Source organism: Homo sapiens, chromosome 20, assembly GCF_000001405.40.
Source record: "Homo sapiens chromosome 20, GRCh38.p14 Primary Assembly".
Classification (NCBI taxonomy): Eukaryota; Metazoa; Chordata; class Mammalia; order Primates; family Hominidae; genus Homo; species Homo sapiens.
In genome coordinates this window covers 19,783,513-19,800,488 of record NC_000020.11, presented here as the reverse complement: position 1 = coordinate 19,800,488, position 16,976 = coordinate 19,783,513, and the positions used below count along the sequence as shown (strand labels likewise).

The following is a 16,976-nucleotide window of genomic DNA, read 5'->3' as shown; positions in this document are numbered from 1 at the left end:
AATCAAGACTTTGATGTCACTCGACATCACTTTGCCACATTCTTTATGTCAAGGCAGTCACTGTGTCCTGCTCAGATTCAAGGAGAGGGAAAATAGACCTCTCCACTTGATGGAGGAGTAGCAAGGTTTTGGAGGAGCCATGACTGTGACCCATGTTGAAAAATATGATCTGCCATAGTGGCCTATACTGAAATCCCATCAATGCAATTTCCTTTCAATGTGAAGATTTATAATTCTATTATAAAAAAAACTACAAAAAGTGGAGAACAGGAAGCAAGGTGGTGGGAACTGAAGAAAGAGAAGTAGAATCATTACTGCCATGTCCTCTTTCAGTTATTGCCAGGTTCTTTGTACTCGGCAGTGGTGTCATCCCTCAGACGGGGCAACAGCAGTGCCCACCTCGTGGTGGTGTTGTGATAATTGAATGAACTAACCCATTAAAGTGCTTAAAGCTGTGCTTGGCCCATGATGAGTGCTCTGAAAATGTGAATGGTTTCCCTTTATGCTCGTGGGCTCCTAACTTGTCCTGATCTTGATGTGGCCCTGCTGCCAGTGTATCATGGACAGAATCCCTCAGGCAGCTGGAAAACATCCTCCCTGTTGCTCTGTCGGAGCAAAGTCCCTTCCACGACCACATATCACAACTATAGCACATGATATTCCCAATCACACTGATGAGCTTGGAAATGAAGAAAACGCTGGGGTGGCGCACACTGGGTTTATGGTCTCGCTGCTACGTACCCCTTCACGCCAGCATCTCTTCTCCTCTCCCACTGCAGTTCAGCCCAACCTCCCCAGCGTTCTGAAGGGCTTGCACATTTTATCTTTTCCGGTAGATGTTCAGAAGTCCAGATCTCTCGTCTCCATCTACAACACAAAAATTGACCATTCAGGGTTTTGTATGTATATTAAAAACACAATGAACAACCACACAGAGGACTTGCTTCCTAGTCTGGCTCTGGGAGGAGACATTGCGAAATGAGAACACAGTGATGGCCTTTCCTTCCCATTCCTGGTCCTCCACCTCTGGACCAGGAAACCGAGGAGGGAGATTTCTTTACCAGAATGCCCTCTAAATCCCTGTGCCAATGCTCAGATTTTAAAAACTCTAAATGGTCTTTCATGAATGGAACTAATTAACAAGCATCCTGTCTTCCCCACCAGTTAAGTGACAATTCATTTCCTTCCCTTATCCCTTGCATCACATCGCTTCCTACAAAAAGGATCCCGAAATCTTCTAGTCTAGGATTCTGGAGATGGGACTAATCAGAATAAGAAATTCCTATATCTCCAGGCACAGTGACTGGCCTCTATAATCCCAGCACTTTGGAAGGCAGAGGTGGGTGGATCGCTTGGGCTCAGGAGTTTGAGACCAGCCTGGGCAACATGGTGAAATCCCGTCTCTACCAAAAATACAAAAAATTAGCCAGGCATAGCGACACACGCCTATGGTCCCACCTACTGGGGAGGCTGAGGTGGGAGGATTGCTTGAGCCTAGGAGGCCGAAGTTGCAGTTAGCAGAGATTATGCTGCTGCACTTCAGCCTGGGTGACAGAGTGAGACTCCATTTCAAAAAAAAAAAAATTACTATATTATCCTATATTTCATTTTTAACTGTTTGAATCAGTATCCTAGCCTTTTCAAAATTACCTAAGTACATGCATGAATGCAGTCACCTTGCTTGAAAACGCAAATATTAGATCAAAGCTCAAGTTCCCTTTGACCATCACCATTAACTCCTATATTCTTGGCAGAAGTGGGCATTTTTATAATTTAAATTATATCTTTCCAGATTGCTTCTGTGCATTCCAATATCCTATTACACGCACACACACAAACACACATGCACACACGTGCACACACACACGTATATGTGTTTCTTTTCTAAATATGTTTCTCATGTGCTCCACTCTCCTGCTTGTTCTATCCTCAGGATGTCCTATCAAACTCCCAACATCGGTATAAGAAGGTTATCTCATTCTTTTTTTCCCACTGCTTTCCTAATACTTCATAGTCTTGGCTCCTCTGTCAGGCTCTATAACTGGACTCTGACTTTCCCTCCATCTCCTCCCCTGGAAATCTCGCACACAGATGCACACACATCCCTTCCTTCATGCCTGGGTCCATGTTAGCTTTCTGGTGTAGAATATCCTCCCTGTCCCTCTCCTCTTCCTTGAGAAGATTCAGCTCTTGGGCTGGGATGCAACATACTTGGGCTTCAGTCCCAGATGAGTTGCTCAGGTAAATTACTTAACCTGGGTTCTTATATAAAAAAATAGGGTAATTGTAATAGCATTTATTATATTTCAAAGCATTGCTCTAAAGATTAAGTAGAATAGGCCGGGCGTGGTGGCTCACACCTGTAATCCCAGCACTTCGGGAGGCCAAGGCAGGCAGATCACGAGGTCAGGAGATCAAGGCCATCCTGGCTAACACAGTGAAACCCCATCTCTACTGAAAATACAAAAAATTAGCCGGGCGTGGTGGCAGGTGCCTGTAGTCCCAGCTACTCAGGAGGCTGAGGCAGGAGAATGGTGTGAACCTGGCAGGCGGAGGTTGCAGTGAGCTGAGACACCGCCAACCTGGGCAACAGAGCAAGGCTCCATCTCAAAAAAAAAAAAAAAAAAAAGATTAAGTAGAATAATCCATAGAAAGCATTGGTCCATTGCAGATTATTTAGTAAATGCTCAAACAATGTGAACTGCCACCACCGTCAATGTTAGTGATCATCATCATTTTTCAGGAATCATTTAAATCCCACTTTCCTTCTTAATCCAGATTTTCCTCCTGAATCCAGATTTTCCTCTGAACCCCTGCTTCACACACAGATAGGACTACTCAAAATCATCCCAATAAACATTAAGCTACGTTGACATCACTTCACAATGTCTTCTAATCTTTACTAATAGGTAGGTCTTGGATTCAATGTACTGCCCCACTGTATTCAGGGTGAGCTTCATAAATCACACAGAGTAAAGGGAGCCTGTTGCATGGTTTATATTATGGTATTAAATAAGTATGTGCAAATAAAATAACTAGGTGTAAATGGCCTATGTTCTTGCTTTTACATAGTTATAAAACCAAGCACAATTGTAAATTATATAAGAACAAGAATGTAAATGAATATAATTAAAAGTAACTCAATTAATGCAAGGGATAATGTTTTCCTGAAACTAAGTCACTCTTGCATCATAAATACGGTGGGCCTGCATATTCTAAGAGAGGAAGGGCTTACATGAGAGAACAAGTCAAAAATTACCCTGACAGCTAATTTGCTGTGTGCAGAGGCTCACACTAGTGATAAGCACCTATAAACTGAGACCACCTGGGGGAACAGCAGACTCCAGTGCCCTGCGTTATGCTGATGCTGGGACACTCACTTACTGAGTGGAATGGCAGCTGGAATTGCTCACACAATTCAAATTATTCCAATCTCTTTCACTCTTTCTTTGAATTCTCCCACTACATTTCTCTATCTGAACTACTGGGCAGCTTTCATTCATCCTCCCCCATTACACTGCATTTGGCCTTCACTTTGGGGAAAACAAAAAACAAAAAACATTGACTCTGTGTGAAGTCTCCCCTGACCATCTTCATACCTTGCAACAATCTCAGTTTATGGGATGATTTGGCCCCAAGGCAAATTAAATAAACTCAAACTCAGAGGCAGACACTGAAATTACTTGGCAGAACTTGGTCCCAAGGCTCAATTCTTTGGGATTCTCCAACCTGGCTGCACACCTGTGAAGCTTTAAGCAAGCTCCAAGCCCAGAGTACATCCCAAATCAATTTGGGGATGGGAACCCTATTTTTGAAGCTCCCTGCGTGATTCCAATGTGCACTGAAGGTCGAGAACAGGAATCTATTGACTCATAGCTTTCAAACACGTTTGACCATCCATCCATGGTAATAAATATATTTCACATCATGATCCATACCCAGGCATATGCATACAAAACAGAAACAAACATTTTGTAGAACAATACTTAACTGTTACTACCAACCGTACACTCTAATATTTTCCATTTTCTTCACTTTTATTTAAAACAACGCTGGATATACCCAACTTCACCCCTTAATGAACCACAGTTCACTGGGGGATCATGACCTACAGCTTGAAAAACATTGCTGTAGTTAGTCCAGAATGTAATTTGATTAATTAGTAAATGTTATCCTTGATATAAAAACATACTGGATTTCAGACATTCCAAAAGGAGGATATGTGAATTCCTGAGAATAAGTCCATATAGAGGCCCATTTTGAAAATCTTTACTATGGACCAAATCCTTCATTTTACAAAACAGAAAAGGTCAAACTCCTATATACATTCCTCCTGGATGTGTACGTGCCTGTGTGTGTTACACTTTGCCCTAACCTACTTTTCTTTTCTTTTCTTTTTTTTCTTTGCTCTTTTCTTCCTTCTCTTCTCTTTCTTTCTCTTCTCTTCTTTCTTTTTTTTTAGACAGCTTCATTCTGTCGCCCAGGCTGGAATGCAATGGTGCAACCTCGGCTCACTGCAAGATTATAGGCTGAGCCACTGCGCCCAGCCCTTTATTTCATATTTTCATGTGCCATTTTGTCTATTTGAAAAATCCTTAAATGATGACACTGTGGACCCTTAAACATAGAGCTTCTGGAGCTTAGTGATGTTACTTCAGTGTGTGTTGTTTGGGGGTGCTGGTCTTTTTTTCCTTTGCCCATGATGCATGGGGTAGGTGTGTGCATTTTAACATTTGTTGACTGAGTTTTAGCATTCTAGGACATATTTCCAATTTGGATTTGACACAATGGCACTCTAAGGAGGCGGAAAAAAATGTTTGTTTGGTCTTATAGAGAAGGGGATTTGCTGTCACGTGCAGGATCTCAATAGTTAGGCTGTTTTCCAGCCTAGAACCCCTTCTAACATCAGACTGTATTGTTTTAGATCTCTGACACCCTTATCTCACGGGCAAAATAGAGGGCAATAAAAAATCCAATTTTCATTAATATTGCTTCAGTAGCATCCACAAGTATTTAAAACTAAATTTTCTGAGGACCTGAGGGGAAAAAAAACTCACCAGGCAAAATGCTACTGGTCAACTTCCAAAGGGGTTTTTACTTGAAAACTACAATAAACAGCCAAACCCAAACAATCTAAAAAATAGACACAAAACTGAATTTGCACTGAATATGTATGACATATGCTACGACATCTTACAGAAACTAAGATATTACTACAGAAACAAAAACACTATAGCCACTTACAAATGGTGCTTTTCCGTAAGAAGAAATATAATGACATATTAAAAACAGAAACAGACTGACTGAGACTTCCCTGCGAGTCCGGGTTAAGCAGCTGGAACAACTTGGGATGCTGTCCTGACCTTCCTGGGCCAGTGTCACCGCATGTGTACACAAGAGCATTTCCTCAGCAAAGTGCCTGTGTTTTAAATGGGTTATTGAACTTTAACAGGGTTGTGTTCCTAAGAGAAATGCAAATTCTTTTAAAACTTACATTGGTTTCTCAACAAACTAGAGTTTCTCTAAAGACAACTGAAGTGTTTCTACCTTTAAGGATTCTAAATTGTCTTAAATTTTAATTTAATTTTTCTATGGAGGAAAGCCAAATTTATGAAGGGGATTGTCTTGATCAGAATTATTCATGAATTAACCAAATGCGGAGTAAGCATCTAGTAGGTGCGAGGCGTTGTGAGAAATCCTGAGTCGCTGTTCTCATAGAAACCCTGAAGTCCTTATAAAGAAATTTATAAATTAAAACCTACAAGGTAATAACAGGTTGAAGAAAATGAAATACAACTAGATTTAATTTTTCTTAATCCAGTAGTCACAACTCTAGAAACTGAAGTAGTTGCTTATTTTTCCACATATTTTGATAGCATCATCTAGAAGGTTCATATGAACGTTATTCATCATTACCTAGTATCACTGTATCTTTTTTTTTTTTTTTTTTTTTTTTGGATACAGGGTCTCACCCTGTTGCTTAGGCTGGAGTGCAGTGGTGCAATTTTGGCTCAAGGCAACCTCCACCTCCTGGGTTCAAGTGATTCTCCTGCCTCCGCCTCCCGCCACCTCACCTGGCTAATTTTTGTATTTTTAGTAGAGATGGGGTTTCGCCATGTTGGCCAGGCTGGGCTCGAACTCTTGACCTCAGGTGATCTGCCCGCCGTGGCCTCCCAAAGTGCTGGGATTACAGACGTGAGCTACTGCACCCAGCCCACTGAATCTTTTTTTGAAGATTTGCACATGCAGGCCACTTGCTGGGTGCCATTTTGAAATCTGCTACTGGTGGAGTTCATCTCTCACTAAAGCCTTTCTTTTCTTTTCTATTCTGTACATGTTGACTATAGATGCATTATTCTTTGGATCCTTGTGATCTTGGGTATATTATTTTCCCTGATCTTCTCTTAAAGGAAGTAAAATTGGTTCAGTTCATCCTGCCTTAGTGTATCTAAGCTTCACAGATGAAAAGATTCAGTGACCAATTTGATTGATTTTTGTTAGGTACTGAATCCTGCCTGTGTTATCTTCATGACTGGACCACATCTCTGGTGTTGGCTCAGGCTAAGAATTTACTCACCCAGCTATGAGCTTTCTCATTCCAATTCCCTGTACTTCCCTATCTAGCAACCCCAGCAATGCGTCAGTAGCTACCATGGGGAACCCAAATCTAGGCTTCTCCAGTCTTTCCCCACAGCTTTTCCTACAAAACGATGAATTGTCAACCTTAGAAAGTGTTAAAAACATTGTTCTGTAATCCTAATAACCTGGAAAATTTGGAGTTACTCAAAGTAAAATAAGTTTCTTTGTGCAAGATTTCTAGAGCATCTCTGCTAGTATAATCTAAAAGGGTCAAAGTATGTTCCAGCATCTCCCAAAACCCTTTGAGTTTTCATTTGTGAAAACCTCAGGATTAGGCCAGCTGTGAAGATAGTGCCCTGGAGTACTTCTTTTCTCCCTCCCTTTTTCCTTTCCTTTTTTTTCTTTAAATTAATTGTACTAGAGAAAGGCATTGCCATCTCCCTCTCTGGGGTACGAGAGAGAGAAAGACTAACATTCAAGGAAAACCATGCTATTATCACAGGAAAGCCCCTCTGTGGCTGAGCCATCCAATATAGCAGCCACGGGCCCTGTGTGGCAATCGAGCACCTGAAATGTGGCAAGTCTGAATAGGAATGCTTTGTAAGTAGAAAATATGCTCCAGGTTTTGAAGACTTAATACAAAAAAATTTTAAATGCTTCAGTAATAAATTTTCATATTGATCATATGTTGAAATATTGAATTAAATACGATATCTTATTAAAATTAATTTTACCTATTGCTTTTGACTTTCTAAAATGTGACTACAAAAAATTTTAAATTACATATGCAACTCATGTTATATTTCTATTGGACAGTGCTGCCTGATGGAATAATTCCCAAAGCCTTACAGGTCATCAATACCCCTTGGCTGGGCTGCTGTATTTGCTGTATTCTGAACACATACACACAAACACAATGCTATATTCTGAACACACCAGACACACACACACACACACACACACACACACAGTGGCTGCTTAGCCTAAAATACCTTGCCCTCCGCAGCCATCTCCTGTTACCATCCTGCCAAACTTTTAAGATCCACCTCAAAACATAATAGGCAATTGCTAGCAGGTTTTCAGAAGTGATTCCATGCCAGGCACTATGCTGAGCCCCCTCCTCCCTCAAATCACCCCGACAGCCAATGAAGGGGTAATAGAATATGCTCATTTTGTAGCTGGAAGAGGTGAGGTAACCTGCTTAACGCTATGTGCTGGTCAGTGGCAAACCTGAGTCTTCTTTGGCTTGTCAATCACCAAATCATCTTTGGTTTGTCATCACTGTCCCCCCTTTAGCCCCTCTGGTGGCTCTTGCCTCACCTCCCCATGTGTGCGCTAAGTCCTCAATGGCAGGCACCCCTTGCTCCTGTGAGCTTTGCTTCCCTCACTTTCCAGATCTTAGTTCAAGTGTCTTTCTCACAACACACATCACTCATTACATCCTATTACCACTGCTTTGACATTTTGTTTCAGGCACATGATACCCTCTGATGACCCGGGTGGATTCTGCTCTTGTTTAAATGTTCACGAGAAATGACACTATGAGGCCTCAGTCAATATTTGGTTAAGGTAAAGCATGTTATATACTTGAATATCTTCCTTTCGCCATCTTTTAGAAATGTATATTTTTGCTGTTAAAAATGGGAATTAAGTGCATTGATGAGGGTGACCATTACAGACAGGTAGACCCTAAAAAGCCAAGGCAAACCACGCCAGCTGGAAGTGGAATTTCCGCTGTGGTAGAATTTGCCTCTGAAGACCTTCACAGGCAGTTCCTCTGTCCACAAAGAAGAATTTCTTTCTTTCAGCTCATACTGTCCACTTGGCCTTGTCAACTGCTCTGGCCATGTCCCTGGAAGGAGTCCCACTTGTCCTTCCTCTTCCCCCAACCATGGAAACAACCTGAGAAAAAGCTGGATGGGGGAGGGAAGGAAAAAATACACATTTCCTTTTCAACATTATTAAAGGAATGAAGATAATAATTATGGGTAATTCTAAAACATGAACATTTTAGGTAAGTTTAGATGACTTTATTCCTTACCTGTTGCCTGAAGTGGACACGATACAGGCAAAGAAAGCCTTGCTAGTTGCACTAAGACAACCCCAGTGCTGAGTTTGCATGAGAATATGAGCATTTCCTCAAAATGCCTCCTGTTAACAGTTCTAGGAATACTTATTTCAAAGAATAATTTATCTTTGGAAAAAGAAATTAAAGTTCCTATGAAAAATAAGGATTTATATTTGTTATATTTTTCATTCCCTTTCCAAAGACATTTGTGTAATGAAGAAAATTTAGATTACTTTAAAATGAACTTCTTAGTTAACTTTCCTCAACTGATGATCTCTGTTTTCCCTAGAGAAGTCATGTTACTGTAATTTTATGAAGCTTTCCTCACTTCCACATAATAATATCTGAGGCAGGGGGCACATCTCCTCTTTGGTGGATCAGGTATTCTTTCAAAGATCAAGCTAAGAATTTTGTTGACCTTAAATTATCTAAGCCTTAGCACTGTAACTCCCAAATTATATTCTTTGGTGTCTTCTTAAATATGTAAGAGGAAATTAAATAACATCCACAGAATTGTATTTTAGTCATTTTCTCAAATAAATTCATTCACTTTTTTGGAAAACTTATCTTTAGAAATGACCAGTAGTTTTAGAAATACATATATATCTGTGATAATTTTCCAATCATTTCTAATTCTATTTTTCCAATTAAAGAAATGGGACAAGTAATTCATTTGTTTATTCAATTTCAAAGCCACTGGCTGATTTTGTTCAAGGTCTAAGCTATACATTACAGGAACACACATGAAGTCCTGTTTTTCTTTGTGGGCCATCTGAAAGAGATGCAGAAGATGAGTGTAGTTTTGGCTGGGGAGTATGGGGAAAGGCATTTTAGTTTAGACAGAACCACTTGGTTTAAAGCAGCTGTGCCAAGCTACAACCATTAGAACACTGCTTAGCCCTTGGGGCATATTGAGGATTCACATGGAAAGGCAGGCCAGGTCATGGTCTGGACAAAGGGAAGGGTTTCCATTTTACAATGCAAACCTATGGGAGCTAGTGACCATCTCAGAGTTGGGGTGAAGTGCTGGAGGCTGGAAGGACCATTTAGGGCAAGTAAGAGAGACCTGAACTAAGGAATATGGGCTTGAACTAAGAAAGAAGGTGACAGACATGAAGAAGGGCCAGATAAGGCCACCCAAAGGATAAGGAAGTTGGGAGGGGGAATTGGTTGGGGTAAGTGGATGATTATTCTATTTTTATTAATTTTTTTACTGCTGGGGTAACCCTATGTTGCCCAGGCTGGCCTTGAACTCCTCCTGGACTCATGTCATCCTCCTACCTCAGCCTCCAGAGTAGATAGGACTACAAGTGCAAGCCACAGAGCCCAGCTTATCCTAGATTTAGATAAGTTAAGCCCAACTTGAAAAATCCAACATTAGTTGAAAAATTAACAGGAATAAATGGATATTCTGTATCAGGATAAAAAGTCCCCTTCCCTAAACCCACATACACAAATAGAGAATGAAAGCCAAGTGGAGTAATAGCTGCCCCCTAATTAATAAGGCTAGAGATCAAGTTATCTGAGTGGGAAGCAGGCAACCTGACTTGCTAGCCTTGTAAGACTGGGGCAGTTGCTGGTGTCGGTGGGTGTATGATTATTTCATTTTTGAATAAATTGAGGTTTCTAGGGAGATCCAGATTGAGAAATCCAAAAGGCAGTTGAAGAATTACTAGAGACAAATGAATAAGTCTATATTCAGAAAACAACTCATCTGCAACGAGGGAAATGATGGTCTATAGAGGCCAGATCACCTTCAAGCCTTCTGTTCAATTCTGGGTGCCACATTTTGATAAAAACGTGATAAAATTAGGGCCCGTCAAGAAGTAGCTAGAAATGAAATATGTGACCATGTTTAGGAAAAGATGTTTGAAGGAGTCTTGGATGATTGACTTGGAGAAAAGAAAAAGCAGGGAAGCCTCTGTCATGTGAGTGGAATTAGACTTGCTCAGTGACAGATAAGAGGAGAACCAAAGGAGAGAAATTAGAGGAAGACAAATTGCAACTCGAGGTGAGGAATCTCTGGCTAGCACTTTGGGACTGGGTGATTTTCTCCTCATCAAAAATATTAAAGCACAGACTGAACAACAACCCATGGGGATGCATAGAGGGGACTGAAGCACATGGCAGGGAACCAGGCAATAGTTGGATGTCCCTGAGAGTCCTACGACCCCATGGGAGGAGGCAGATTGGAACAACAGTTATAAGATTAGGAGCCACCTACAGGGAGCAGGCAGCTAAAGCTACAAATAGGTAAAATGCCCAAGATACCAACTGCAGCAAGAGAAAGTAAGTAAACCACAGAAAGAATCTTGTACAAAATAAAAGAAACTAGGCAAGATAGAGAAATCATAAAGGACTAGGAAGAAAATTAAGAGTGTCACATAACAAAAGACAAGGGAGAGGAAATTCTATTGAAGTATAATTAACATACAGTAAAGTGCACACATCTTAAGTTAAAAGTATTATTTTAAAAAATCTTCGCATATCCCAAGTTCACGAAGATATTTCTCTTGTATTTTTTCTAGAAGGTTAATTGTTTTAGTTTTAACATTTAAGCCTATGATCCATCATAAAATCATTTTTGTGTATGGCATAGGAATCAAGTTTTATTTTTTTCCTCAGGAATATCAACTGACTAGCGCCATCTGTGGAAAAGACTCTTCTCCCGCCTCCACACCCGCTTAATTGCAGTGTAGCCTTTGTTGTAAGCCAAGATACTGCATTATCTTGTAGCTCTGTCTCTGAACTCTCACTTCTGTTCCATTTACCTATTTGTCTATCCTTGTTCTGATGCCACAGTCTTCATTATGTAGCTTTATAGCATGTCTTAATAATTGGTAATGTAAGAGCTACAGATTTGCTGTTGTTCTTAAATATGGCTTTGAATTTTATAATTATTTTTCAGTTTCACCTACAGTTTGGAATTAACTTGCCAATTTAAACAGAAAATAATTCTGCTAGGACTTATTTGAAATTTTAATGAGTCCGTAGATCACTTTGGGGATAAATGACATCTTTAAAATATCTCAATCCATGAACATGGTATGTCCTTCTATCTATTTAGGTCTTCTTTAATTTCTCTCAATGTTTTGTAGTTTTAGTGTGGTGTTCTTGCATATCTATTGTTAAGGTTTTTTTTGTATGGTACTGTAGATCACATTTTCTATTTAATTTTCTACTTGTTACTAGTATATTAACTCCTGAGTAATGGCAATTTTAATTTTTTTTTTTTTTTTCGAGACAAAGTCTTGCTTTGTTGCCCAGGCTGGAGTGCAGTGGTGCCATCCCAGCCCACTGCAACCTCTGTCTACTGGGATCAGGTGATTCTCCTGCCTCAGCCTTCCAAGTAACTGGGATTACAGGTGCCTGCCACCATGCCTAGCTAGTTGTTTTTTTTTTTTTTTTTGGCAGAGACAGGATTTCGCCATGTTGGCCAGGCTAGTCTTGAACTCCTGACTTTAAGTGATCTGCCTGCCTCAGCCCCCCAAAGTGCTGGGATTACAGGCATGAGGCAATGCACCTGGCCAATTCTTATTTTCTAATTTTAATAACATTTCTTTCTTTTTCTTGCCTTAGTGTCCTGGTAAGACTACCAGTATATTGTTGAATACAGATGACAGAGTGATAGATGCTATAAGGTGACAGTGAATAAGAGTGATAGGGCACGCTTGTGTTATTCCATACATCAGAGTGAAAGCATTAAGTATTTCACCATTCAACATGGCTTGCACATACCCTTTGTCAGATTCAAGTGGTTACCTTTCCATGGTAGTTTGCTGAGATCGCACTAAGTATTTTTAATCTAAATGTTAAATTCTACAATAAAAACACAATAACTTATTTGGAAATACAAGTTAGGGAGGGGTGTAGTACTTTACATTACTGATAGAGGAAGTCTTCCTCTATTTGGAAAAGACCATCACCTGGGATAGATGGAGTAGATCTGAGATTGTCTTGTGTAATGCATAGGGTAGTAACATGGTTGCCAGTAAGCACATGCTTGAGTCAAGCAGTTTAATACCTGAACTGTCTATCCTCCCCTTACTAGATCTATGTCTCTGGACCTGGAGCTTAAAATACAAAATCCAGAAAGCATAACATAATGATAGCACTAGCTACCACTTATTGAGCACTCAGTATATGCTTGACATTGTATTAAGCCATTTATGTCTATTATTTCATCCAATCCTTGCCATAACCTTCATAACAACAGATGAGGCAACAAAGGCATGAGAGATAAATTTACTTGCCTGTGGTCACACAGCCAGTAAGTGAGGGAGCCAGGATTCAAACCATCTGACTCCATGACATTAATCACTACACTTTTGCCATCAGGAATAAAATCTTCTCCCTCTAGCCCCGCATTTGAGGTCATTTCTCTCTCTCTCTCTCTTTTTTTTTTTTTTTTTTTTTTTTAAGATGGAGTCTTGCTCTGTCGCCCAGGCAGGAGTGCACTGGTGCGATCTCAGCTCACTGCAACCTCTGCCTCCTGGGTTCAAGCAATTCTCCTGCCTCAGCTTCCCAAGTAGCTAGGATTACAGCTGCACGCCACCATGCCCAGCTAATTTTTGTATTTTTTTAGTAGAGATGGAGTGTCACCATGTTGGCCAGGCTGGTCTCGAACTCCTGACCTTGTGATCTGCCTGCCTCGGCCTCCCAAAGTGCTGGGATTACAGGTATGAGCCACTGTGCCCAGACAGTCATTTGTCTTTATTATGGCCTAGAATGTTAAATATGTTTGCTCACCATAGAATTAACTTGAGAGCTACCCAATGTTGGGTTTCATTAGAAATCCTTGAGACCAGCAGCCACATTTTTAGTCCCTATGTCCTTTTAGCTTTATCCCATCCAGAAACAAAATAAATAGCTCTCCAGTAACCTATCCTATCATTTACTTTCACCAAAAGCAATAGATACATAAAGCTTTGCAAGTACAAAAACAGAAAATCACTGGAAAATAACTCAATTCTTTTCCACTGGAAAGGTTAGCATGTAAGCTAAATCTAGAGAGGAATATAATTCTTCCCCAAAGAGACATGTTCTGTCCTATCAACTTCCGCTATAAAAATTATCCAAAACAGCACTACCGCAAAAGGTATTAGGCATAGTCACTACACTTTCCCTAGAAATGATGGCTTCATGCATCTTCACGCTTCATGCATCCTCATTATCTATTGCTATATAACTAGTCACCGCAAGACTCAGTGGCTTAAAACAATAATCATTTTATTATTGCCATGGTTTCTGAGTGTCTGGAATTCAGGAAGGGCTTGGCTGGGTTGTTCTGGCTCAGAGTCTCAAATGTGGTTGCAGCCAGATGGTAACTGGAACTGGAACAAAAGGCAGAGTGTGTGGGGGTGGGGAACGGGAAGGTATGGCTGGAACAGCTGGAGACTGCTACGGTATCTCTCTCTTTCTTCATGTAGCTTCAGGGCTTTGTCATGTGATCTGTTTGCCCGGGGCTAGTTTGGGTTTCCTCATAGCATGGTAGCCTCAGAACAGTCTAACTGCTTGCATGGCAGCTCAGCACTCCAGCAAGAATGTACCAGACAGCAAGGTGGAAATTGCACTATCTTTTTCTTTCCAAATTATCCTCAGAAGTAATGCAGTATTATTTCTGCTGCATTCTATTGGGTACAAGTGAGACACAAACCCACTCAGACTCAAGAGACAGGCATTCAACTTTACCTCTTGATAAGGAGGTGCCTAGGAGAAGGTGTGGGATGGGTGATGACATTGTGGCTATGTTTAGAAAAATACAATCTGTCCCACAGACTGAAGTTAGCAATGCACTGGAAATCTCACAGAGGGGGAAGCCATTCCCATTCTCATTTTTCACATGTATAAACCAAGGCGAAGCATTTCTAAGCTGCTTGTGGTCACACAGAGGCAGGGAAGAAACTATCACATGTGTTACTTTGACATATATACAACTTTAATGATGAATATAATGTATGAAAATTACTTTTTAAAGTATAAAATACGGCATCATTTATGGTAGTCATTCATTACAATTTGAAAACATCTCTGAAAAGTTTATCTCTGAAAGTTTGACATATTACCAAGGAGAATGAAGCTCTCCTTGGAAAGTTTAATCCACTCAACTTGATCTTCCCTGGGAAAGTATTTGGGTATTTCCTAGTCTCATATAATAGAGAACTTGGCAAGTAAAAATGATAGCCAACATTGGCCTTGCACAATGTTCCCCACTGAAATAGCCAGTACGCTTATGGATAAGAAATGCTTGCCTTGGGCTGGGGTTTAGAAAACATAGGCCTGTGGATGGGAAAAGGCAACAGTTCTTGTCCATCTACTGTCCACTGAAAGGATGTCCTGCCTGGCAGCACAAAAGCATCTGCAAACTGAATTTCCCCATTTCCTCTCCGGAGTTCAGTCAACTCTCATTTCACTTCATCCTGGGTTTTGCCCATTTTAGTTCTGATTTTTTTATTAAAGGTTGGGTTTTTTAGCATATGAAAGTTCTTATGTTAGGACATTTAATTAGTGGTGGAATGTCATTAGTTTTCTTTTGCTCTGGTGTGTGTGTGTGTGTGTGTGTGTGTATGTAGAGGGGTGAGAACATTGACTAGCTGAAATGCTTAGATTCACAAACTCGTTTCTTCTGATTGCAGCTTTGCTTGCACGTTGTCTGCCACTTTCTGCTCCTTTTGTCATCTATTTTCTTTACTGGATCGTGAGTGAGAGTTGATGTAGGCAGGGGACAGCGTGTGGGTGGTTAGCCAGGTTTCTTGATTCAGATGCGCCCTCTACCGTTGATAGAGTGAAGTGTAATTTCTTTATTGTGCTTACTCTGGAAGAGGGGAAGCATGTCTGATTTTGCGGTTTTCTTTGATCTCTGAAGGACCCTTTATTTTATTCTTTTTGCCTTCTTTCTGGATATCACCAAGTCTCCAAGGGGCAGTGCCCTTCCTAGTTTCCCTCCTCTCTCCCAGTAACCTCGCCTTTCCTACGGCTGTAGCCTCCAGTCTCACACTGTCTGGTATTCCCACTCAGGATGGGGCCTGTCCTTCCAGGGGTAATGTGATCTGGGCTGCATCACCCCGGGCTATGCACACTCCTGCCCTTCTCCACTTGTCCTCTGTGGTCCCCGCCCAATGCTCTAGACAGGGGCGGGCTCCGGAGCCTGCCTGGCTGGACCTGGATACTTCTCTCACTACTTACAGGAAATTTGAAGTCTGTAGAATTTTGTCTCTTAGTAATCCTGAGGGCTTGTGTAAACAATGGTTTTATTTGCTCTATTTGTTGATTTGGGTAAATTTTTTTAAGTTATGGTAAGAGATTTGGATGCAGGCAACCACCATTATTCTACTGAAATTCAGAGTTCCCTATGTGTTTAAATAATAATGCCATTTACTGTGCTAAAACATCCATTTACCCAAATCTATTTGCTCTTCACAATACAAGCATTTCTTAGTGCAACAGTATATATAGCTTTTTAAACAAGGAACCCTTTGTAATAACTAAATGCATACACACACACATACACACACACACACATAATTGTTTAAATTCCTTTCTGACCACTATAGCATACTTGAAGCTACAATTCTTAGATATCATCAGCCATCACCAAAACAAGCAAACTTCCTACATCAACTGCATCAGCAAAGGGCACAGCACCCTTGATAGCATCTGCTGTCCTGAATAAAACTACAGGTTGCAGGAGTTGCTGGCAAAGCCGCATGTGATTTTCCAGTTGCCTTGGGGTAGCAGGCAATTGGCCAATTTCAAGCAGCGCCATCCGGTGCCACGTGCCAGCCCTGCTCTGACACACTGTGTCCGTCAGTGTCTCACTGTGCTAACCTGGCCTCGGCCCTGGAGTAGACACTGCAGGTGCTGCTCGTGTCCCCTCTTCCACGACAGCCTGCTGGACTCCACACAGCCAGCATCCCCGTCTCCTTGCCTGAGGGTTCCTCTGGCTCTTGGAATGAGCTTTTCCCAGGGAGAGGCCTGAAATGCTGGGAATCAGTTCCCAGACCCCAGTAGCCCTCAATCTACAACTGATGAGAGCGAGTGTGAACACCTGCCCTGCACCTCCCACACCTCCACCCCTCGTGGGATAGTCAGCTTCCCGGCAGGGGTAAGCTCTAGCTGTCCATGGGGTAAATTATTGATAATACACTCCATATTGTTGCCTCCCTCCCTTGCCTCACCTCCCCACTTTCCTAGGGGTTTCCTGGGACCGCCTTCCCCATCAACTACTTGCATTCTAATCAAATCCTTGTTCAGAGCCGGCTTCGGGAGGAATTCAGATCCAGACAGCTCCCCAGCTCAGGGCCTCACCTCCAGCCACCCAGAGCCTTTG

General features: G+C 41.3%; 1 protein-coding gene across 11 annotated transcripts in view; it reads right to left on the bottom strand.

Annotated features, from left to right (window-relative positions):
• RIN2 (Ras and Rab interactor 2) overlaps window positions 1-16,976 on the bottom strand; it is a 244,858-nt gene that overhangs the window by 201,968 nt on the left and 25,914 nt on the right. For all 11 annotated transcript variants that reach the window (XM_047440212.1, XM_047440213.1, XM_017027888.2 and 8 more), the window contains exon 2: window positions 742-867. The gene's annotated coding sequence lies outside the window, so the exon portion shown is untranslated. The remainder of the gene's footprint in view (window positions 1-741; window positions 868-16,976) is intronic.